We start from the raw sequence: 18,580 nt of genomic DNA, 5'->3' as shown, positions 1-18,580 counted from the left end.
CACAGGGATTTTCCTGCTGCTTCCTCTACCCCTGTATTTTGCTTGGCTCTCTAAATTGACTCCGTTCCCAGTAAGGTCAGAATCTTCTCACATAATCTAGACCTCAGATTCCCCAGTGGGGTGTGTGTGTTCAGGGGCAGATGATCTCCCTTTCCCACTTCCACAGTTTGGGCACTCACAGTATTTGGGGTGTCTCCCAGGTCCTGCAGGAGCAATCCACTTCCTTCAGAGGATCTGTGGGTTCTCTTGGCTTTCCTAGTGTATTCCTGCAGACGTTCTGGAGAAAAAGTTCACAATGCGAGACTCCACACGCTGTCCTGTCTGTCTGAGTGGGAGCTGAAATCTAGTCTTGCCTCCCATCTGCCATGATCTCCAAATTATAGTTTGCCTTTTTTCACTCAGACTATTGGATTTTTTGCTATTGTGTTGTTTGAATTCATTATATATTCTGGTGATTAATCCTTTGTCAGAGGGGTAGTTGGCAAATATTTTCTCCCATTCTGTGGGTTCTCTCTTCACTTTGTGGACTGTTTCCTTTGCTGCGCAGAAGCTTTTTAACTTCATGTTGTCCCATTTGCCCATTTTTGCTTTGGTTGTATGTGATTGAGAGTATTACTTAAGAAATCTTTGCCCAGACCAATGTCCTGGAGAGTTTTTTCAATATTTTCTTATAGCAGTTTTATAGTTTGAGGTCTTATATTTAAGCCTTTAATCCATTTTGATTTATTGTTTGTATATGTGAGAGATAGGGGTTTACTTTCACGCTTCTGCAAATTCAGTTTTCCCAGCATCATTTGTTGAAGAAACTTGTCCTTTCCCCAGTGTATATTCTTGGCACCTTCATTGCAAATGAGTTCACTGTAGATGTATGTATTGAGTTCTAGGTTCTCTATTCTGTTCCATTGTTCTATGTGTTTTTATGCCAGTACCATGCTGTTTTTGTTACTGCAACTCTGTAGTATAATTTGAAGTCAGGTAATGTGACGATTCTAGTTCTGTTCTTTTTGCCCAGATGGTTTTGGCTATTCTGGGTGTTTTGTGGTACCATAGAAATTTTAGGATTATTTTTTCCATTTTTAATTAGGCATAAGATAGCTCTTCAGCAAATTAGGTAGAGCCCTCACTAAAGTGTGAATCCAGTATCTTCTGGTTAAACTGTTTTTCTCAGTGAAATTATTTCATAAAGAATCTCTTTGATGATCTGGCAAGATGGCCAAATAGGAACAGCTACAGTCTGCAGCTTCCAATGAGACCAACACAGAAGGTGTATGATTTCTGCATTTCCAATGGAGGTACCCAGTTCATCTCGTTGGGATTGGTTAGATAGTGGGTGCATCCCACGAAGGGTGAAGCAGGGTTCAGTGTCACCCCACCCAGGAATTGCAAAGGACCAGGGAACTCCCTCTCCTAGCCAAGGGAAGCTATGATGGACTTTGCCATAAGGGATGGTACTATCTGGCCCAGATACTACACTTTTTCCATGGTTTTTGCAACCCACAGACCAGGAGATTCCTTCAGGCACCTGAGGGCCTGGGGTTTCAAGCACAAAACTGGGCAGCCATTTGAGCAGACACTGAGCTAGCTGAAAGAGTTTTTTGTTTTGTTTCGTTTGCATACCCCAGTGGTGCCTGGAACACTAGAGATACAGAACCGTTCACTCCCCTGGAAAGGCGACTGAAGCCAGGTAGCCAAGTGGTCTTGCTCAGTGGGTCCCACCCCCACAAAGCCCAGCAAGCTCAGATCCACTGGCTGGAAATTCCCACTGCCAGCACTGCAGTCTAAAGTCAACCTGGAATGCTCGAGCTTACTGAGTCTTGAGTAGGCAGTTTTCCCTGCACAGTGCAAAAAAAGCCACCAGGAAGTTCAAACTGGGCAAAGCCCATCACAGCACAGCAAAGTGTCTGTTGCCAGACTACCTCTCCAGATTCCTCCTCTCTGGGAAGGGTATCTCTGAAAGAAAGGCAGCAGACCCAGTGAGGGGCTTATAGATAAAACTTCCATCTCCCTGGGACAGAGCACTTGGGGAAAGGGGCAGCTGTGGGTGCAGCATCAGCAGACTTAAACATTCTTGCCTGCCAGCTCTGAAGAGAGCAGTGGATCTCCCAGCACAGTGCTCAAACTCTGCCAAGGGACAGACTGCCTCCTCAGGTGGGTCCCTGACCCCCATACCTCCTGACTGAGAGACACTTTCCAGCAGAGGTTGACAGACACCTCATACAGGAGAGCTTCAGCTGGCATCTGGCAGGTGCCCCTCTGGGATGAAGCTTCCAGAGGAAAGAGCAGGCAGCTATTTTTGCTGTTTTGCAGCCTCTACTTGTGATACCCAGGCAAACAGGTTTGGAGTGGACCTCCAGGAAACTCCAGCAGACCTGCAGTAAAGGGGCCTGACAGTGAGAAAAAAACTAACAAAGAAAAACTAATAATATCAACATCAACTAAAAGGATGCTCATGCAAAAACCCCATCCAAAAGTCATTAGCATCAAAGGTCAAAGGCAGATAAATCAAGGAAGATGAGGAAAAACCAGTGCATAAATGCTGAAAATTCCGAAAACCAGAATGCCTCTTCTCCTTCAAAGGATCACAATTCCTCACCAGCAAGGAAACAAAACTGGACAGAGAATGAGTTTGATGAACTCACAGAAGTAGGCTTCAGAAGATGAGTAATAACAAACTACTCCAAGCTAAAGGAGCATGTTCTAACCCAATGCAAGGAAGCTAAGAACCTTGATAAAAGGTTACAGGAACTGCTAACTAGAATAATCAGTTTAGAGAAGAACATAAATGACCTGATGGAGCTGAAAAACACAGCAAGAGAACTTCATGAAGCATACACTAGTAACAATAGCAACATCAATCAAGCAGAAAGAAGAATATCAGAGATTGAAGATCAACTTAATGAAATAAAGCATGAAGACAAGATTAGAGAAAAAAGAATAAAAAGGAATGAACAAAGCCACCAAGAAATATGGGACTATGCGAAAAGACAAAACCTATGATTGATAGGTGTGACTGAAAGTGACGGGGAGAATGGAACCAAGTTGGGAAACATATTTCAGGATATTATCCAGGAGAACTTCCCCAACCTAGCAAGACAGGCAAACATTCAAATTCAGGAAATACAGAGAATACCACTAAGGTAATCCAAGAGAAGAGCAACCCCAAGACACATAATCATCAGATTCACCAAGGTTGAAATGAAGGAAAAAATGTTAAGGGCAGCCAGAGAGAAAGGTCAGGTTACCCACAAAGGGAAGCCCATCAAACTAACAGTGGGTCTTTCTGCAGAAACCTTACAAAGAAGAGAGTGGGGGGCCAATATTCAACATTCTTAAAGAAAAAAAAAATTCAACCCAGAATTTCATATCCAGCCAAACTAAGCTTCATAAGTGAAGAAAAAATAAAATCCTTTACAGACAAGCAAATGCTGAGGGATTTTGTCACCACCAGGCCTGCCTTACAAGAGCTTCTGAAGGAAGCACTAAATATGGAAAGGAAAAACTGATACCAGCCACTGCAAAAACATATGTGAAGGAACTACATCAACTTATGTGCAAAATAACCAGTTAGCATCATGATGACGGGATCAAATTCACACATAACAAAACTAAACTTAAATGAAAAGGAGCTAAATGCCCCAATTAAAAGGCACAGACTGGCAAATTGGATAAAGAGTCAAGACCCATTGGTTTGTTGTATTCAGGAGACCTATCTCACATGCAGAGACACACATAGGCTCAAAATAAAGGGATGGAGGAACATTTACCAAGCAAATGGAAAGCAAAAAAAAGCAGGGGTTGCAATCCTAGTCTCTGGTAAAACAGACTTTAAACCAACAGAGATCAAAAAAGACAAAGAAGGGCATTACATAATGGTAAAGGGATCAATGCAACAAGAAGAGCTAACTATCCTAAATATATATGCACCCATATATGCACCCAATACAGGAGCACCCAGATTCATAAAGTAAGTTCTTAGAGACATACAAAGAGACTTAGACTCCCACACAATAATAGTGGGAGACTTTAACACCCCACTGTCAATATTAGACAGATTAACAAGACAGAAAATTAATGAGGATATTCAGGCTTGAACTCAGCCTGGACCAAGTGGACCTAATAGACATCTACAGAACACTCCACCCTAAATCAACACAATATACATTCTTCTTAGCACCACATAGCACTTATTCTAAAATTGACCTCATAATTGGAAGCAAAACACTCCTCAGCAAATGTAAAAGAACAGAAATCATTACAAACAGTCTCTCAGACCACAGTGCAATCAAATTGGAACTCAGGATTAAGACACTCACTCAAAACCGCACAACTTCATGGAAACTGAACCTGCTCCTGAATGACTACTGGGTAAATAACGAAGTTAAGGCAGAAATAAATAAGTTCTTTGAAACCAGTGAGAACAAAGACACATGGTACTAGAATCGCTGGGACACAGCTAAAGCAATGGTTACAGGGAAATTTATAGCACTAAATGCTTACATGAGACAGTGAGAAAGATCTAAAATTGACACCCTAACATCACAATTAAAAGAACTAGAGAAGCAAGAGCAAACACATTCAAAAGCTAGCAGAAGGCAAGAAATAACTAAGATCAGAGCAAAACAGAAGGAAATAGAGACACAAAAGACCCTTCAAAAAAAATCAATAAATCCAGGAGCTGGTTTTTTGAAAAGATCAACAAAATAGACCACTAGCCAGGCTAATAAAGAAGAAAAGAGAGAAGAATCAAATAGACACAATAAAAAATGATAAAGGGGATATTACCACTGATCCCACAGAAATACAAACTACTATCAGAAAATACTATAAACACCTATTTGCAAGTAAACTAGAAAATCTAGAAGAAATGGATAAATTCCTGGACACATATACCCTCCCAAGACTAAACCAGGAAGAAGTTGAATCTCTGAATAGACCAATAACAGGCTCTGAAATTGAGGCATTAATTAACAGCCTACCAAACAAAAAAAGCCGAAGACCAGACAGATTCACAGCCAAATTCTACCAGAGGTACAAAGAGGAGCTGGTACCATTCCTTCTTAAACTATTCCAAGCAATAGAAAAACAGGGACTCCTCCCTAACTTATTTTATGAGGACAGCATCATTGTGATACCAAAACCTATCAGAGACACAACAAGATTTCAATCTTGTTGTTGAAATTTGAAAACAAATTTCAGGCCAATATCCCTGATGAACATCTATGTGAAAACCCTCAATAAAATACTGGCAAAACAAATCCAGCAGCACATCAAAAGCCTTATCCACCATGATCAAGTCAGCTTCATCTCTGGGATGCAAGTCTGGTTCGACATACACAAATCAATAAACTTAGTCGATTGCATAAACATAACCAATGACAAAAACCACATGATTATCTCAATAAATGCAAAAAAGGCCTTTGATAAAATTTAACACCCCTTCATGCTAAAAACACTCAATAATCTAGGTATTGATGGAACATATCTCAAAATAATAAGAGGTATTTATGACAAACTCACAGCCAATATCATACTAAATGGGCAAAAGCTGGAAGCATTCCCTTTGAAAACCAGCACGAGACAAGGATGCCCTCTCTCACCACTCCTATTCAACATAGTATTGGAAGTTCTGACCAGGGCGTTCAGGCAAGAGAAAGCAATAAAGGGTATTCAAATAAAAAGAGAGGAAGTCAAATTGTCACTGTTTGCAGATGACACAATTGTATATTTAGAAAACCCCATTGTCTAAGCCCAAAAACTCCTTAAGCTGATAAGCAACTTCAGCAAAGTCTCAGGATACAAAATCAATGTGCAAAAATCACATGCATTTATATACACCAATAATGGACTAACAGAGTGCCAAATCATGAGTGAACTCCCATTCACAAAGAGAATAAAATACCTGGGAATGCAACTAACAAGGGATGTGAAGGACCTCTTCAAGGAGAACTACAAACCACTGCTCAAGGAACTAAGGACGCAAACAAATGGAAAACATTCCATGCTCATGGATAGGAATAATCAATATCAAAAAAATGGCCATACTGCCCAAAGTAATTTACAGATTCAATACTATTCCCATCAATCTGCCATTGACTTTCTTCACAGAATTAGAAATAAACTACTTTAAATTTCATATGGAAATTTCAAATAAGAGCCTGTATAGCCAAGACAATCCTAAGCAAAAGAACAAAGCTAGAGGCATCATGCTACCTGACTTCAAACTATACTACAAGGCTACAGTAACCAAAACAGTATGGTACTGATACCTACTCAGCTATATAGACCAATGGAACAGAACAGAGACCTCAGAAATAACACCACACATCTACAACCATCTGATCTTTGACAAACCTGACAAAAGCAATGGGGAAAGGATTCTCTGTTTAACAAATGATGTTGGGAAAACTGGCTAGCCATACGCAGAAAACTGAAACTGAACCCCTTCCTTAAACCTTATACAAAAATTAACTCAAGATGGATTAAAGACTTAAACTAAAACCATAAAAAAACCTAGAAGAAAACCTAGGCAATACCATTTAGGACATAGGCATGGGCAGAGACTTTATTACTAAAACACCAAAAGCAATGGCAACAAAAGCCAAAATTGACAAATGGGATCTAATTAAACTAAAGAGCTTCTACATGGCAAAAGAAACTATCATCAGAGTGAAAAGGCAACCTACAGAATTGGAGATTTTTGCAATCTATCCATCTGACAAAGGGCTAATACCCAGAATATACAAGGAACTTAAACAAGTTTACAAGAAAAAAACAAATGACCCCATCAAAATGTGGGCAAAGGATATGAATAGATACTTCTGAAAAGAAGACATTTATGTGGCCAACAAACATATGAAAAAAGCTCATCATCACTGGTCGTTAGAGAAATGCAAATCAAAACCACAATGAGATACTATCTCATGCCAGTTAGAATGGTGATCATTAAAAAGTTGGGAAACAACAGATGCTGGAGAGGATGTGGAGAAATAGGAACACTTTTATACTGTTGGAGGGAGTGTAAATTAGTTCAAACATTATGGAATACAGTGTGGCGATTCCTCAAGGATCTAGAACCAGAAATACCATTTGACTCAGCAATCTCATTACTGGGTATATACCCAAAGGATTATAAATCATTCTACTATAAAGACACTTGCACACATATGTTTATTGCAGTACTATTTACAATAGCAAAGATTTGAAAAACTCAAATGCCCACCAATGTTAGACTGGATAAAGAAAATGTGGCACATATATACCATGGAATACTATGCAGCCATAAAAAAAGAATGAGTTCATGTCCTTTGCAGGGACATGGATGAACCTGGAAACCATCATTGTCAGCAAACTAACAGAGGAACAAAAATCCAAACATTATGTGTTCTCCCTCATAGGTGGGAGTTGAACAATGAGAACACATGGACACAGGGAGGGGAATATCACCAGAGCCTGTCAGAGGGGTGTGGGCCTAGGAGAGGGATAGCATTAGGAGAAGTACCTAATGGAGATGATGGGTTGATGGGTGCAGCAAACCACGATGGCACATGTATACCTATGTAACAAACCTGCACTTTCTGCACATGTATCCCGGAACTTAAACTACAATAAAAAAGAGACACAACTGACAAAAAAAGAAACTCTCCAATCATTCACATAAAAATGTGCACACAAGCACATGTGAGCTCCCACTATATATATGTGTGTATATATACACACACACACAGATAATCTACTTGTAGATGAGATATATATAGATACAGATATCTAAAGAGGAGAAATGAGAGAAATAGCTAAGAATCTCGGCCTTACACATGACACAAAAATGTGAACAGAGAATTTTATGGAATGCTGACTTAACAAACATAATTTATGCCTGGGTGTACTACAGAGTTCACCTACAATAATGTAATTGTCTTTTGAATTTGCCCCATACTTTGTGTTAATGTGCCTATGTGCCATGTAGGTATGGAATACATAAATGAACTTGCCCATGCTTGTCCTAGTAAAGTACTAACTTTATTATCCCTTCTGGATAGTGATTTCTTAGAATAGAGACAGGGATTTGTGCTATAGGAAAGCTTTACAGACTGCCAAATTCAAAATAGTAGGATGAACAAACAAATTCTGGTTCAAACCTGAGTTTTTATAAAGTAGTATCTCTCTATGGGCTGTCAGCTGGCTCCCTGCATCAGCATCACTGGCAGCATTTGCTACCCCAAGGTCCCATACCCAATACAAACATAATTTATGCCTGGGTGTACTACAGGGTTCATTTACAATAATATAATTGTCTTTTAAATTATAATTCCCCCAATTACATTTGGGGGAATTGCTACCCCGAGGTCCCATACTCAATACCACCCACTCAGATCTTCTGCCAATAGCGTAAAAATATCCATTTAAAACAAATTTTCAGTGACTTTATGTATTATGTAATAATATTATGTATCTACATAACAATCCAAAGTTTATATGTCAAACATTTGCAAATCAAATCTTCTTTTTACATTGACCCACATTAAGATACCAGAGCTTATTTATCTTCATTTTTACTGATCTTTCTGAATCACTGTTAATCATCCTTAGGTTTCAGCTGTTGAGGTCACATCCCCAGTGATCCACCCCCCATGAAGCTTCTCTCTGTGAAGTCCTCGTTTTGTTTTGTTTTTTGCTTGTCTAAACTAGGACATGAAAGTCCCTAAGATGATGGCATTTACAGGAATTCCACAAGGAGGCTGTCTGCTTTGATAATTGTGAACCCCACTCACATTTTTGGAGTTTTTAATTTTCTTTTTTTAAATTTTGGTTTCTTAAAATATCGGCTTTCTTGAAGGAAAGTATGCCTGTATCCTCAACTCCTTTTGCTCAAGTTCCCTTTGGGATTAATTAAATACAGTCTGTATATCAAGGTGGAGGGGAGTAGAATTATTGCAGCAGCAAATTACTCATTTCATGAAGTACTTGGTCCATTACTATAGTATTTCCCGATAGTTACTTTGTAAAATATGGAACATTAGAACACCATTTTTGGTTGATTGGATACCTGAGTTTCCTTCATCTACTTCTCCAAATATTTTCCCCCAGAGAGATGATGAATGGGAATGTGAGTATTTGTGAGACTGGGGACAATGGCTCTAACAACACACCCCTGCTCTTATAGAAGGACAGTGGTTGAACCAGGATGCCAACCCATGCCAAGGCCAACCAAAGACTTATAACTTTCTATTTTGCTGTGGTCTGGTATTTTATATGCATGCGTGTGTGTGAATACATGTGATTATTTGTGCATCTGTAACTGCATAGCATGAAAGATGGAGAGACTTCTGGACAAATGGACTACTTGATGGGGAAAAACTAAAGAGACTTCCTTGGTGTGATATATTTTATCCCATTTTAATACATACACCCAAAAAAACTTTATATGTTGAAGTCCTAACCTCTGATACCTCGGAACGTGACTATTTGGAGACAATACATTTTAACTTAATTACTTAAAGAAGTAATTAAGTTAAATTACTTAAATTACTTAAAGAAGTAATTAAGTTAAAATGAGATCATTAGGGTGGACCCTAATCCAATATGACTGGTGCCCTTCTAAGAAGGACAGAGACATGTACACAAGGAAGACCATGTGAAGACACCGGGAAAAGACAGCCATTGGCAAGCCAAAGAGAAAAATCACAAAAGAAAGCAACTCTGACAACACCTTGATCTCGGACTTCAAGCCTCCAGAATTGTAAAACAATAAATTTCTGTCACAGAAGCCACCCAGTCTGTGGTACTTTTATGGCAGCTCTAGCAAACTAATACACATATCTACCAGACAAAAACTTGCAGTACCACTCTCTCACTCTCTAATGTAGCTTAGAGAATAAAAATGTTTTCATCACATAGTATTCAGAATCATTAAATATGTCATATTCTTCACACATACATGCATTGTAACAGCATTCTCCCTACCCAGTCACCTGAAAATAACTTTTGAAATCATGCTACACGATTTCCTGTTCCATAGTCTATTCTTTAGACTCTTACTTGAAGTCAGGAAGTAGCAGACCAAGATTTTAACATCATTATTGTCATATAATTCCATGTTCTACTTATAGAGGTAGAAGATTATAGGAGAAATTATTGAAGAAAGTACAAGAAGCCCTATATATTTTCACAGTCATACGTCCTCTATGTTACCCCCTCAGTTGTATCTAATTTCATAGCACGAGTTGTAGGACCCTTCACTTGTTCCCTTATTCCCCTAAGCAAGAACCCACATAGACAACTTGCTTCTGAAGAAAATTTGCATACATACAGAAGTTAATCTATATTATTCAAAATGGATAGTTGGTAAGGAGGAATTGTTGGTGTTTCATTAGAATTGATCAAGAAGAATGCTCTCATTCTAAATTAGATTACTATTCTTCATCCATTTAACTGAAGTATCACTACAACAGTAAAGAAAATGCATCAGTGTACCATGGATGGATGAGAAAAAGACAAATATACAGTCTAGACATCTACAATTCTATGCTCACCTGCCAACCTCCCCATCTTTATCTTGAGTTGAAAGATTCATTTCCATACACTTCCAGATGTGAATCTTGAGTTATTTATTTAATCATTTAATAAATAGTTTTGAGTATCTTCTATATGTCTGTTCCAATGGTTCTTAACTGGGCCAATTTTGACTGCCAGGGGACCATTTGGCAACATCTGGAGATATTTTTTATTAATACAACCAGAGTATGGTTACAATGCATGTATGTTTCATCTAGTGGGTAGAAACCAGGATGTTGTGAAACAAATATCCAGCCTAAAAGGTCAGCAGTGCCCAGGCTGGGAAATCCTAGTCTAGCCTTTTGTTACTCATATTATATGCATACAAGTTGAGAAAAAGGAGACTTGGTTGTTGCCGTCACTGCGCTTATACATGAATAGGAGAGATAGAAGTTAATCAAATAGTAAACAAATATAAGTAAAATTGTAATGGTTGCAATGATTGAGAGGTCAGTGAGATTCCAAAAGGAACATTCCAAAAGATGCATTTGACCCTGACATAACCAAGGTCAAAAAATCTTCCCTGAGGAAGTTGTCATACAACTGGGACAAAGGATAATTAGAAGCTTATTAAGTAAAAAGAAAAGAGAAAAGACATTCCAAGCAGAGTCAACAGTCTGTGCAAAGGTCTGGTGGTGAGAGGAAGCATGGTGAGAAGAAGGGACTGAATGAAGGACAGAGTCACTGGAGAAAAGAGGAGACTAGAAGTTAGCAGAGATTAAACCTTATATTGGCTTTGTAACCTATATTATGGTTCATCCTTGTATTATAATATATGCCAGATTTCACTTTCACTGAAAAGCAATTGAGGTTTTTTAGTACCCCAAAAGCTACTGACATAAAAAAATTGTTTAAAGAATACAGAGTCGTGTCAGAAAGACTCAGCCAACTTGAAGAGGTTCCCACTAGTCAAAAATGGAGTAACATTATGAGGATAACTACAATGGAGAGGGAGGAAGTTCTAACTATTTTTAAGTCAGAGCATGTGGAGAGATTTCTGGAGTGGCTGTCAAAGTTCTTTCCCTTGATCTGAGTGGTGATTACAAAGGGATTTGACTGATAATATTTCACTAAGCTATATGGTTGTTTTGTGTGGTCTTTCTTCTGTGTTTTTGTTTTATTTCACAATAAAAAGCTATGAAAAATTTTTTAAAAAGCAACTGAGGGCAATGTGGCTGGGTGAAGTTTGATGTAGAGGGAAGAATATACCTTAGGATCAGGCAAACTTCATTTCAGCTACTTGCCGCATCTATTCTTGGACAACAGGAATAACAATAACTTCGCAGGCTTATTACAAGGATTAAATGATATAATGTATACATGTGATACCAATAGTATCTCCTTCTTAGTGGTGTTGCACAAATGAAATTACTTAATATGTGCAAATTGTGTGGAATTTAGTAAGTGCAATATTAGGCTTAGCTGTTATGATTATTATACTGCTTGGCACATAGCAAATAGTTAATACATTTTGCTTCCTACCCCTCCCATTCCCTCTCTCCTCCATTTATTGGCACCAAAGGTACCTCAGGAGTCCCTGACTCTCTCAGATATCCCAGCCCTGATTGCTGTTGGGATCTGGCCGTCCTCTCCACAGACACACAGACACACACACACACACACACACACACACACCCCAAAGAACTACCTTAGTTACTCTAGACCTCTTCAGAATTGCCTGTGAATAAGTGGGCACTTGGATACATATATTCACACACAAACATGTAAATATATGTTATAAAAATATAAATATTTTTACACATGACCAACCAACATTTTTTCAAAGGAATTAAACTAATTTGCTAAGATCTATGGGAATGTCTCTGCTCAAAGAAAATTAACAAAGAAGGATATCATGGAAAGTTTAATGTATGAAACCTATTTAATTGCATAATAAATGTTAATTTATTATGATCAGGCAAACAACGTGATAATTATTAATTGAAGCACTATTAATAACATAACAGTATGCTAGGACCCATAGCAGAAAGATAAAAATAAAGTCTCAGTTCTCTGGGGCAAAAATAATTTGGGAATTATTATTACAACAGACATGGTAGGAATAGACTTGAAACAGAAGGCTCAAATGGCCTTGATTAGGGAACTTGGTGTTTTTCAGGAAATTATTTTGGGAACTGAGAATGTTACTAAGTGGTTGAATGACAAGCATACTCTAGACCCTCCATGTGACAGGGGATTTCAAGTGGAGACACAGTTTTAGTTTGGACTAATTATCTGGTAACAGGAGACGAGGTCAACAATCACTAAGCTACCTTCTTCTGGGAGATGGAACTTATGAGACAAGACCCTAGATTACAAAGCAATTGACTTGCTACATGGCTTTTGTTTGGGAGGTTACATAAGGCTCAGTCCCACTGGGCAGGCTTTCCAGGCTCATGACCCTCCGTTCTTGATCTACCAGAGCAGTCAGACATCACTGCTAGGTCCTCTCTTTTATGAATATCCCAGCGGAGGCTGGCTCAGTGTATCTCTCTCCTTTTCCAAGTTTAAGGTAAGAGAATCTCTTACCTTCTTCTAGATTTGCAGTGTTCCAACACTGACTGACACTGAGCTAGAAAAGTAAAATAGTGGCTTTACAAATAAAGACTACAGGATTTCAGAACTAGTTCAGCCTATGACTTACAGTGTTTTCTCTGAAATTCACTGGGAAGCCCAATTTTTCTGGTTAGAATGGTAATAACTAATCTCGGTCAAAGAAATTTGAGGGATTTAATAAATATAAATTGCTACAAGGTTTAAGGGTTAATAAAAACTTTTTATTCATATGGTACCCCATTTAATCTTCTGCTGTAAGGAAGATATTATTATCATACCCTTAATAGATACAATGAAAGCAGGGAAGAATTAACATTTATTATGCAACTAAATAGGTTTCATACATTAAACTAAGTGTTTTATAAATACTTTATCTCACCTAATTTCATCACAACTCCATTATGTAAGTATTATTATTTGCATCTTTTAAACATGAGGAAACAGAAATTAACGTGAGATGATCTTCCAGGGGATTATGTTATTAATAGTACACTGAGAATCTAGCTCAGGTTTGTTGAATGACAAATCCACTAAACCCCTTTTTTACACAATTCTTACTAGACATTTGTAGAGTTGTTCTAGCCTAGAGTATCTGGATTTCCAGAATGAACAGAAATAATGTATCTCAGGACATTCTTGCCAACTTGAGGAAGGCTACCTGGAAAGGAAAGAAGGAAAGTAAGAGAATGATGTGAAGTTTGACCTGGAAACACTGAGATCTTGGGGGAGGTTTCTGAGGATGATGAAGTGTTCTTATCTTGCGTCTGTCCTATGCAACATATTTAGTAACAACTTGGAATGGCAAGTTGATGGATGTGTTGATAAAACAATTTTCACTGTCTTGGAACCATGAACTCCACTATTTTATCTGTCTAGATCTATTTAATGTAACCATTCCTGTGATCTGTCACAGGCTGCACAATTTTTTAAAAGATATTTTAAATGAGAACACTTCCAGAGCTTAAATTGTGAGACACATCAAAACCATGTCATATGAGAAATAGCAAAAGGAAATTAGGAAGAAAAAAAAACAGGGCTACAGGATAACAGCGCTTTAGCATCTGGTGTTTTGAGTAGAAACGGCCATATTGGGCCGGGTGCGGTGGCTCACGCCTGTAATCCCAGCACTTTGGCGGGTGGATCACCTGAGGTCAGAAGTTCAAGACCAGCCTGGTCAACATGGTGAAAGCCCACCTCTACTAAAAATACAAAAAATTAGCTGGGCCTGGTAACAGGCACCTGTAATCCCAGCTACTTGGAAGGCTGAGGCAGGAAAATCGCTTGAACTCAGGAGGCAGAGGTTGCAGTGAGCTGAAATCATGCCATTGAACTCCAGCCTGGACAACAAGAGTGAAACTCCATCTAAAAAAAGAAAAAGAGAGAAAGAGAGAAAGAAAGAAAGAAAGAAAGAAAGAAAGAAAGAAAGAAAGAAAGAAAGAAAGAAAGAAAGAAAGGGAGAGAAAGAGAGAAAGAAAGAAAAAAATGGCCATATTGTGTAGAACAAAGGAACATTTAGAAGTTGCACAGAGGCAGGCTTCAGTTTATTACAGAAATGACTTTCAGAGAATCCAGTCTTTCCACAGCAGAGCAAGCAAACCAGGAGATAATGGGATTCCCTGGGCATTGAAGGTGACCCAGTGTCTACACACTGTATTGGAAATTCAAGTATCTAATAACTGGGGATCAAATTGGCCATTTTTGAGGTCCCTTCTTGCAGTTAGAATTTATGACTTATAATAGCTCTGATGTAAATATTTTAAATATTTTATTATAGGTGGAGTGTTCAGATTACAAATATTATAGAGAGCAGTATTCAGATGATAACTATATGACATGACGGATATGCTGATTAGCCTGATTTGATCATTCCACAATGTGTATATGTATCAAAGCATCACATTGTACAATTATTATTGTCAATTAAAAACAAAATATAACTTTTTGAAAAGATGATATGAATGTAATAGACTACAATAAAATTCTCAGAAGTTGTCATTGTGACACAGATTTCAAACTGTCTCTGTATAATAATATAGATGGTAGACTAGCCTTTAGATGTGTGCCTGTTGTAGACTTCCATATGCTATGTTCTTGAATGATAGAATTATTTCCACAGTGCAGCCCAAATCTTAGATACGAAGTTGTTTTATATAAGGACTCCTAAACAAGTGATTTGATTATGAATAATCTTAAATCTTTCATTGCACGGCAAAGTGAAAGTAGAAAATGAAGAAAATGTATAAATAACATTTTCAAGCTGTATTATCCATTCGACATATAATTATTGAGTGTCTAAAATTTGCACAACATTAGGCGTGCTTATATGGGATGATCAAAATGTAAATAAAGCAGAATGGCTGCCCTTGAATTTATAAATAATAATGATGATTATCTTTTATTAGGTTGCCATTACTATGGACAGTTCATTGTGATATCTTACATTACTATTGCATTTAAACTTACAGCAATTCTTTTGTCTAAGTATAATTATTATTCCCATTTTTCAAATACAGAAATTGAGGCTTAGAGAAATTATATATTACCTAACATCATGAAGCCAGGAGCTGGAATTATTCAAACCACATCACTTCCCTTCACTGCTGATTTCACATTGATACACTGCCCCTCCTCCACATGATATAGTATAATGTGCAATATGCTAAGTGGCATTAGAAACCACTCAAAGCATTATTGAAGTTCAGCTCAGGAAAAGAGACCAACTGAAATAGATACCACTTGTTAGCTGTTGGAAAAACAGCAGAGAGCCATTTCTGCCCTAGGTGCTCTTAATATTTGTAGCTGCCTACTCATATTTTTCCCCATGCTTGTGACACTGAGGTGGGTTTGTGTGAATAATTTTTACTGGAAGTGGTGCCTCTGGGTAGAGATTTCTCTTCAAATCTCATATTCAATGACAGGAAATATTAAAATTTGGCACGTTGAAACAAGGCCACACATTACGTCTTTTCCACCTTATTTAATATGAGTTGGTCTGGGAAAAGAAGTGGAATGGATGCCCTTTGCAAATTACGTCTGTTTATTAAAAGGTTTTTGTGGAAAAGATATGGCTTCTCCCAGATTTCACATTAGCTTCTGAGAAATATGAAAAATAGATGGGCTTAGACTTTCATAATCATGCCCAAATTCACAGGAAGGCTTCTTAGATTTCCAACATCTTGGGATCACATATTTTCTCATACCTCCACCCACGCCAGGAGGAAACATATGATAAAACACCTTGTTTCCTTCAAGCCTTATACTTCTGGTCAGATAAGGATAGAAAAACCAATAGTAGACAGGGCTTTGCTTTCTGAGGCGTATCCCTGACACTGTCATACTCAGGCCTCTGTTAGCCCTTTGCTTCATGGGTAATTTTTTTTCTTTCTTCACTTCCCATCACTAGTTTTGAGAGTTACATTGACATATCACTTATTCAATACCCCAGGAGATATTGAGTGTAAATATTAGGTTGGTGCAAAAGTAATTGCAGTTTTTGCCATCAAAATGGCAAAACCGCAACTACTTTTGCACCAACCTAATAAATATGTGAATGAATAAGTGAATGAATAAATGGCTTATCTCCCTTACCTTAATGATTTCTAGCCCCAAGAATTCCTTGACACTTTCTTGTGAATTTGCTGAAAGAATTGAATTTTCATTCCACTCTTTCTGAAAATAGCTCCTGAATCCCACCCACTTCCTCTGCCATTTTTCTTCAATAGTATCTTACATAGTTTGGCCCAACTCTTGGCAGGTAGAAATTGAGGTGTAGATATTAATGTGGAGAAACTTGGTAAAAGTGGAGAAAAGAAAAAGAACTAGTCTTGATCCTTCCAGTTTCTAACTCCAGTGCTGATTACATTAGATTCATGGCTCAGAGTGTAACTTAATTTATCTTCAGTCTGATTCTTCCTTCTGTACTTGTAGCTCTCCACAGAGAAATACTGTTAGCTCAATTACCTGGGAAAATCACTCAGTGTTGATGGAATTTGTGTTCCTGGCCTATCCCTCCTGCCCAGAACTGCATATTCTGTCCTTCCTTGGGGTCAGCCTGGTTTATGGTTTGATCATCACTGGGAACATTCTCATTGTGGTGTCCATTCACACAGAAACCTGTCTATGCACATCCATGTACTATTTCCTGGGCAGCCTTTCTGGGATTGAAATATGCTACACTGCAGTGGTGGTGCCCCATATCCTGGCCAACACCCTACAGTCAGAGAAGACCATCACTCTCCTGGGCTGTGCCACCCAGATGGCTTTCTTCATTGCACTGGGCAGTGCTGATTGCTTCCTCTTGGCTGCCATGGCCTATGACCGCTATGTGGCCATTTGCCACCCGTTGCAGTACCCTCTCCTCATGACATTGACTCTTTGTGTCCACTTGGTTGTGGCATCAGTCATCAGTGGTCTGTTCCTGTCCTTACAACTGGTGGCCTTCATCTTCTCTCTGCCATTCTGCCAGGCTCAGGGCATTGAGCACTTCTTTTGTGATGTGCCACCAGTCATGCATGTTGTTTGTGCTCAGAGTCACATTCATGAGCAGTCAGTGCTGGTGGCAGCCATACTAGCCATTGCTGTGCCTTTCTTCCTCATCACCACCTCCTACACCTTCATAGTGGCTGCTCTGCTCAAGATCCACTCGGCTGCTGGCCGCCACCGGGCCTTCTCCACCTGCTCTTCCCACCTCACTGTGGTGCTGCTGCAGTATGGCTGCTGTGCCTTCATGTACCTGTGCCCCAGCTCCAGCTACAACCCCAAGCAAGATCGGTTCATCTCACTGGTGTACACATTGGGAACCCCACTGCTCAACCCACTTATCTATGCCCTGAGGAACAGTGAGATGAAAGGGGCCGTAGGGAGAGTTCTTACCAGGAACTGCCTTTCCCAGAACAGCTAGGAAAGACGAGGGGACAGCCTATCAGGCAAGTATTTGGTTCCAGCCCACCAAATCTGTATGAAACTGAGATTTCTATCATTTGGTGTTAAAACTCATCTAAAAGATGGTATAAATTATATGGATACTGTTTATGTGTGCCAAAGATTTTTAAATATTTCTACAATTTGACTCTGTAATTTCTCTTCTTGGAAAGAACTACATGAGCATAAAGTGATATAAAGTGGCAAGTATAATACTTTGTCCAGTTACCAGCTGAGAAGAGATAGCTCACTCAATAGATTTTTAACTAAAAAAATATTTAAAAAGGGTTATCTGCAGTGGTTATAGGTAAGGAAACCAATAAAATGTGGCAGAGCACTAACACGCTAGCAATAGCAGGAAGCTTTCTCAGCCCTAGACTTAAAAGGTGTGCCATAGAAGAAGGGTGCAACATTATCAGAGTCCAGTGACAGTTAGATCTAAGCAGATAAACCACTTGGTAGAAACTGTGGCATCAGAAATAAAAAGAAACTATGACAGAACTATGGCCATGCAAGGAAGAGACAGGGAGGCAAATACCCCAGCGTCTCTTTG

General features: G+C 38.7%; 1 protein-coding gene across 1 annotated transcript; it reads left to right on the top strand.

Moving 5' to 3' along the window:
- The first annotated feature begins 16,687 nt into the window (after window positions 1–16,687).
- Window positions 16,688–18,156, top strand: OR10W1 (olfactory receptor family 10 subfamily W member 1). Its single transcript, NM_207374.3, has one exon. It carries the CDS (start codon window positions 17,090–17,092, stop codon window positions 18,005–18,007), a length of 918 nt encoding a protein of 305 aa, NP_997257.2. The 5' UTR covers window positions 16,688–17,089; the 3' UTR covers window positions 18,008–18,156.
- Window positions 18,157–18,580: the final 424 nt, after the last annotated feature.

The sequence above is a fragment of the Homo sapiens genome, chromosome 11 (assembly GCF_000001405.40).
Source record: "Homo sapiens chromosome 11, GRCh38.p14 Primary Assembly".
In the NCBI taxonomy this organism is placed as follows: domain Eukaryota; kingdom Metazoa; phylum Chordata; class Mammalia; order Primates; family Hominidae; genus Homo; species Homo sapiens.
Note: the sequence above shows the minus strand (reverse complement) of the source record. Positions and strands in the feature narration are given on the sequence as shown.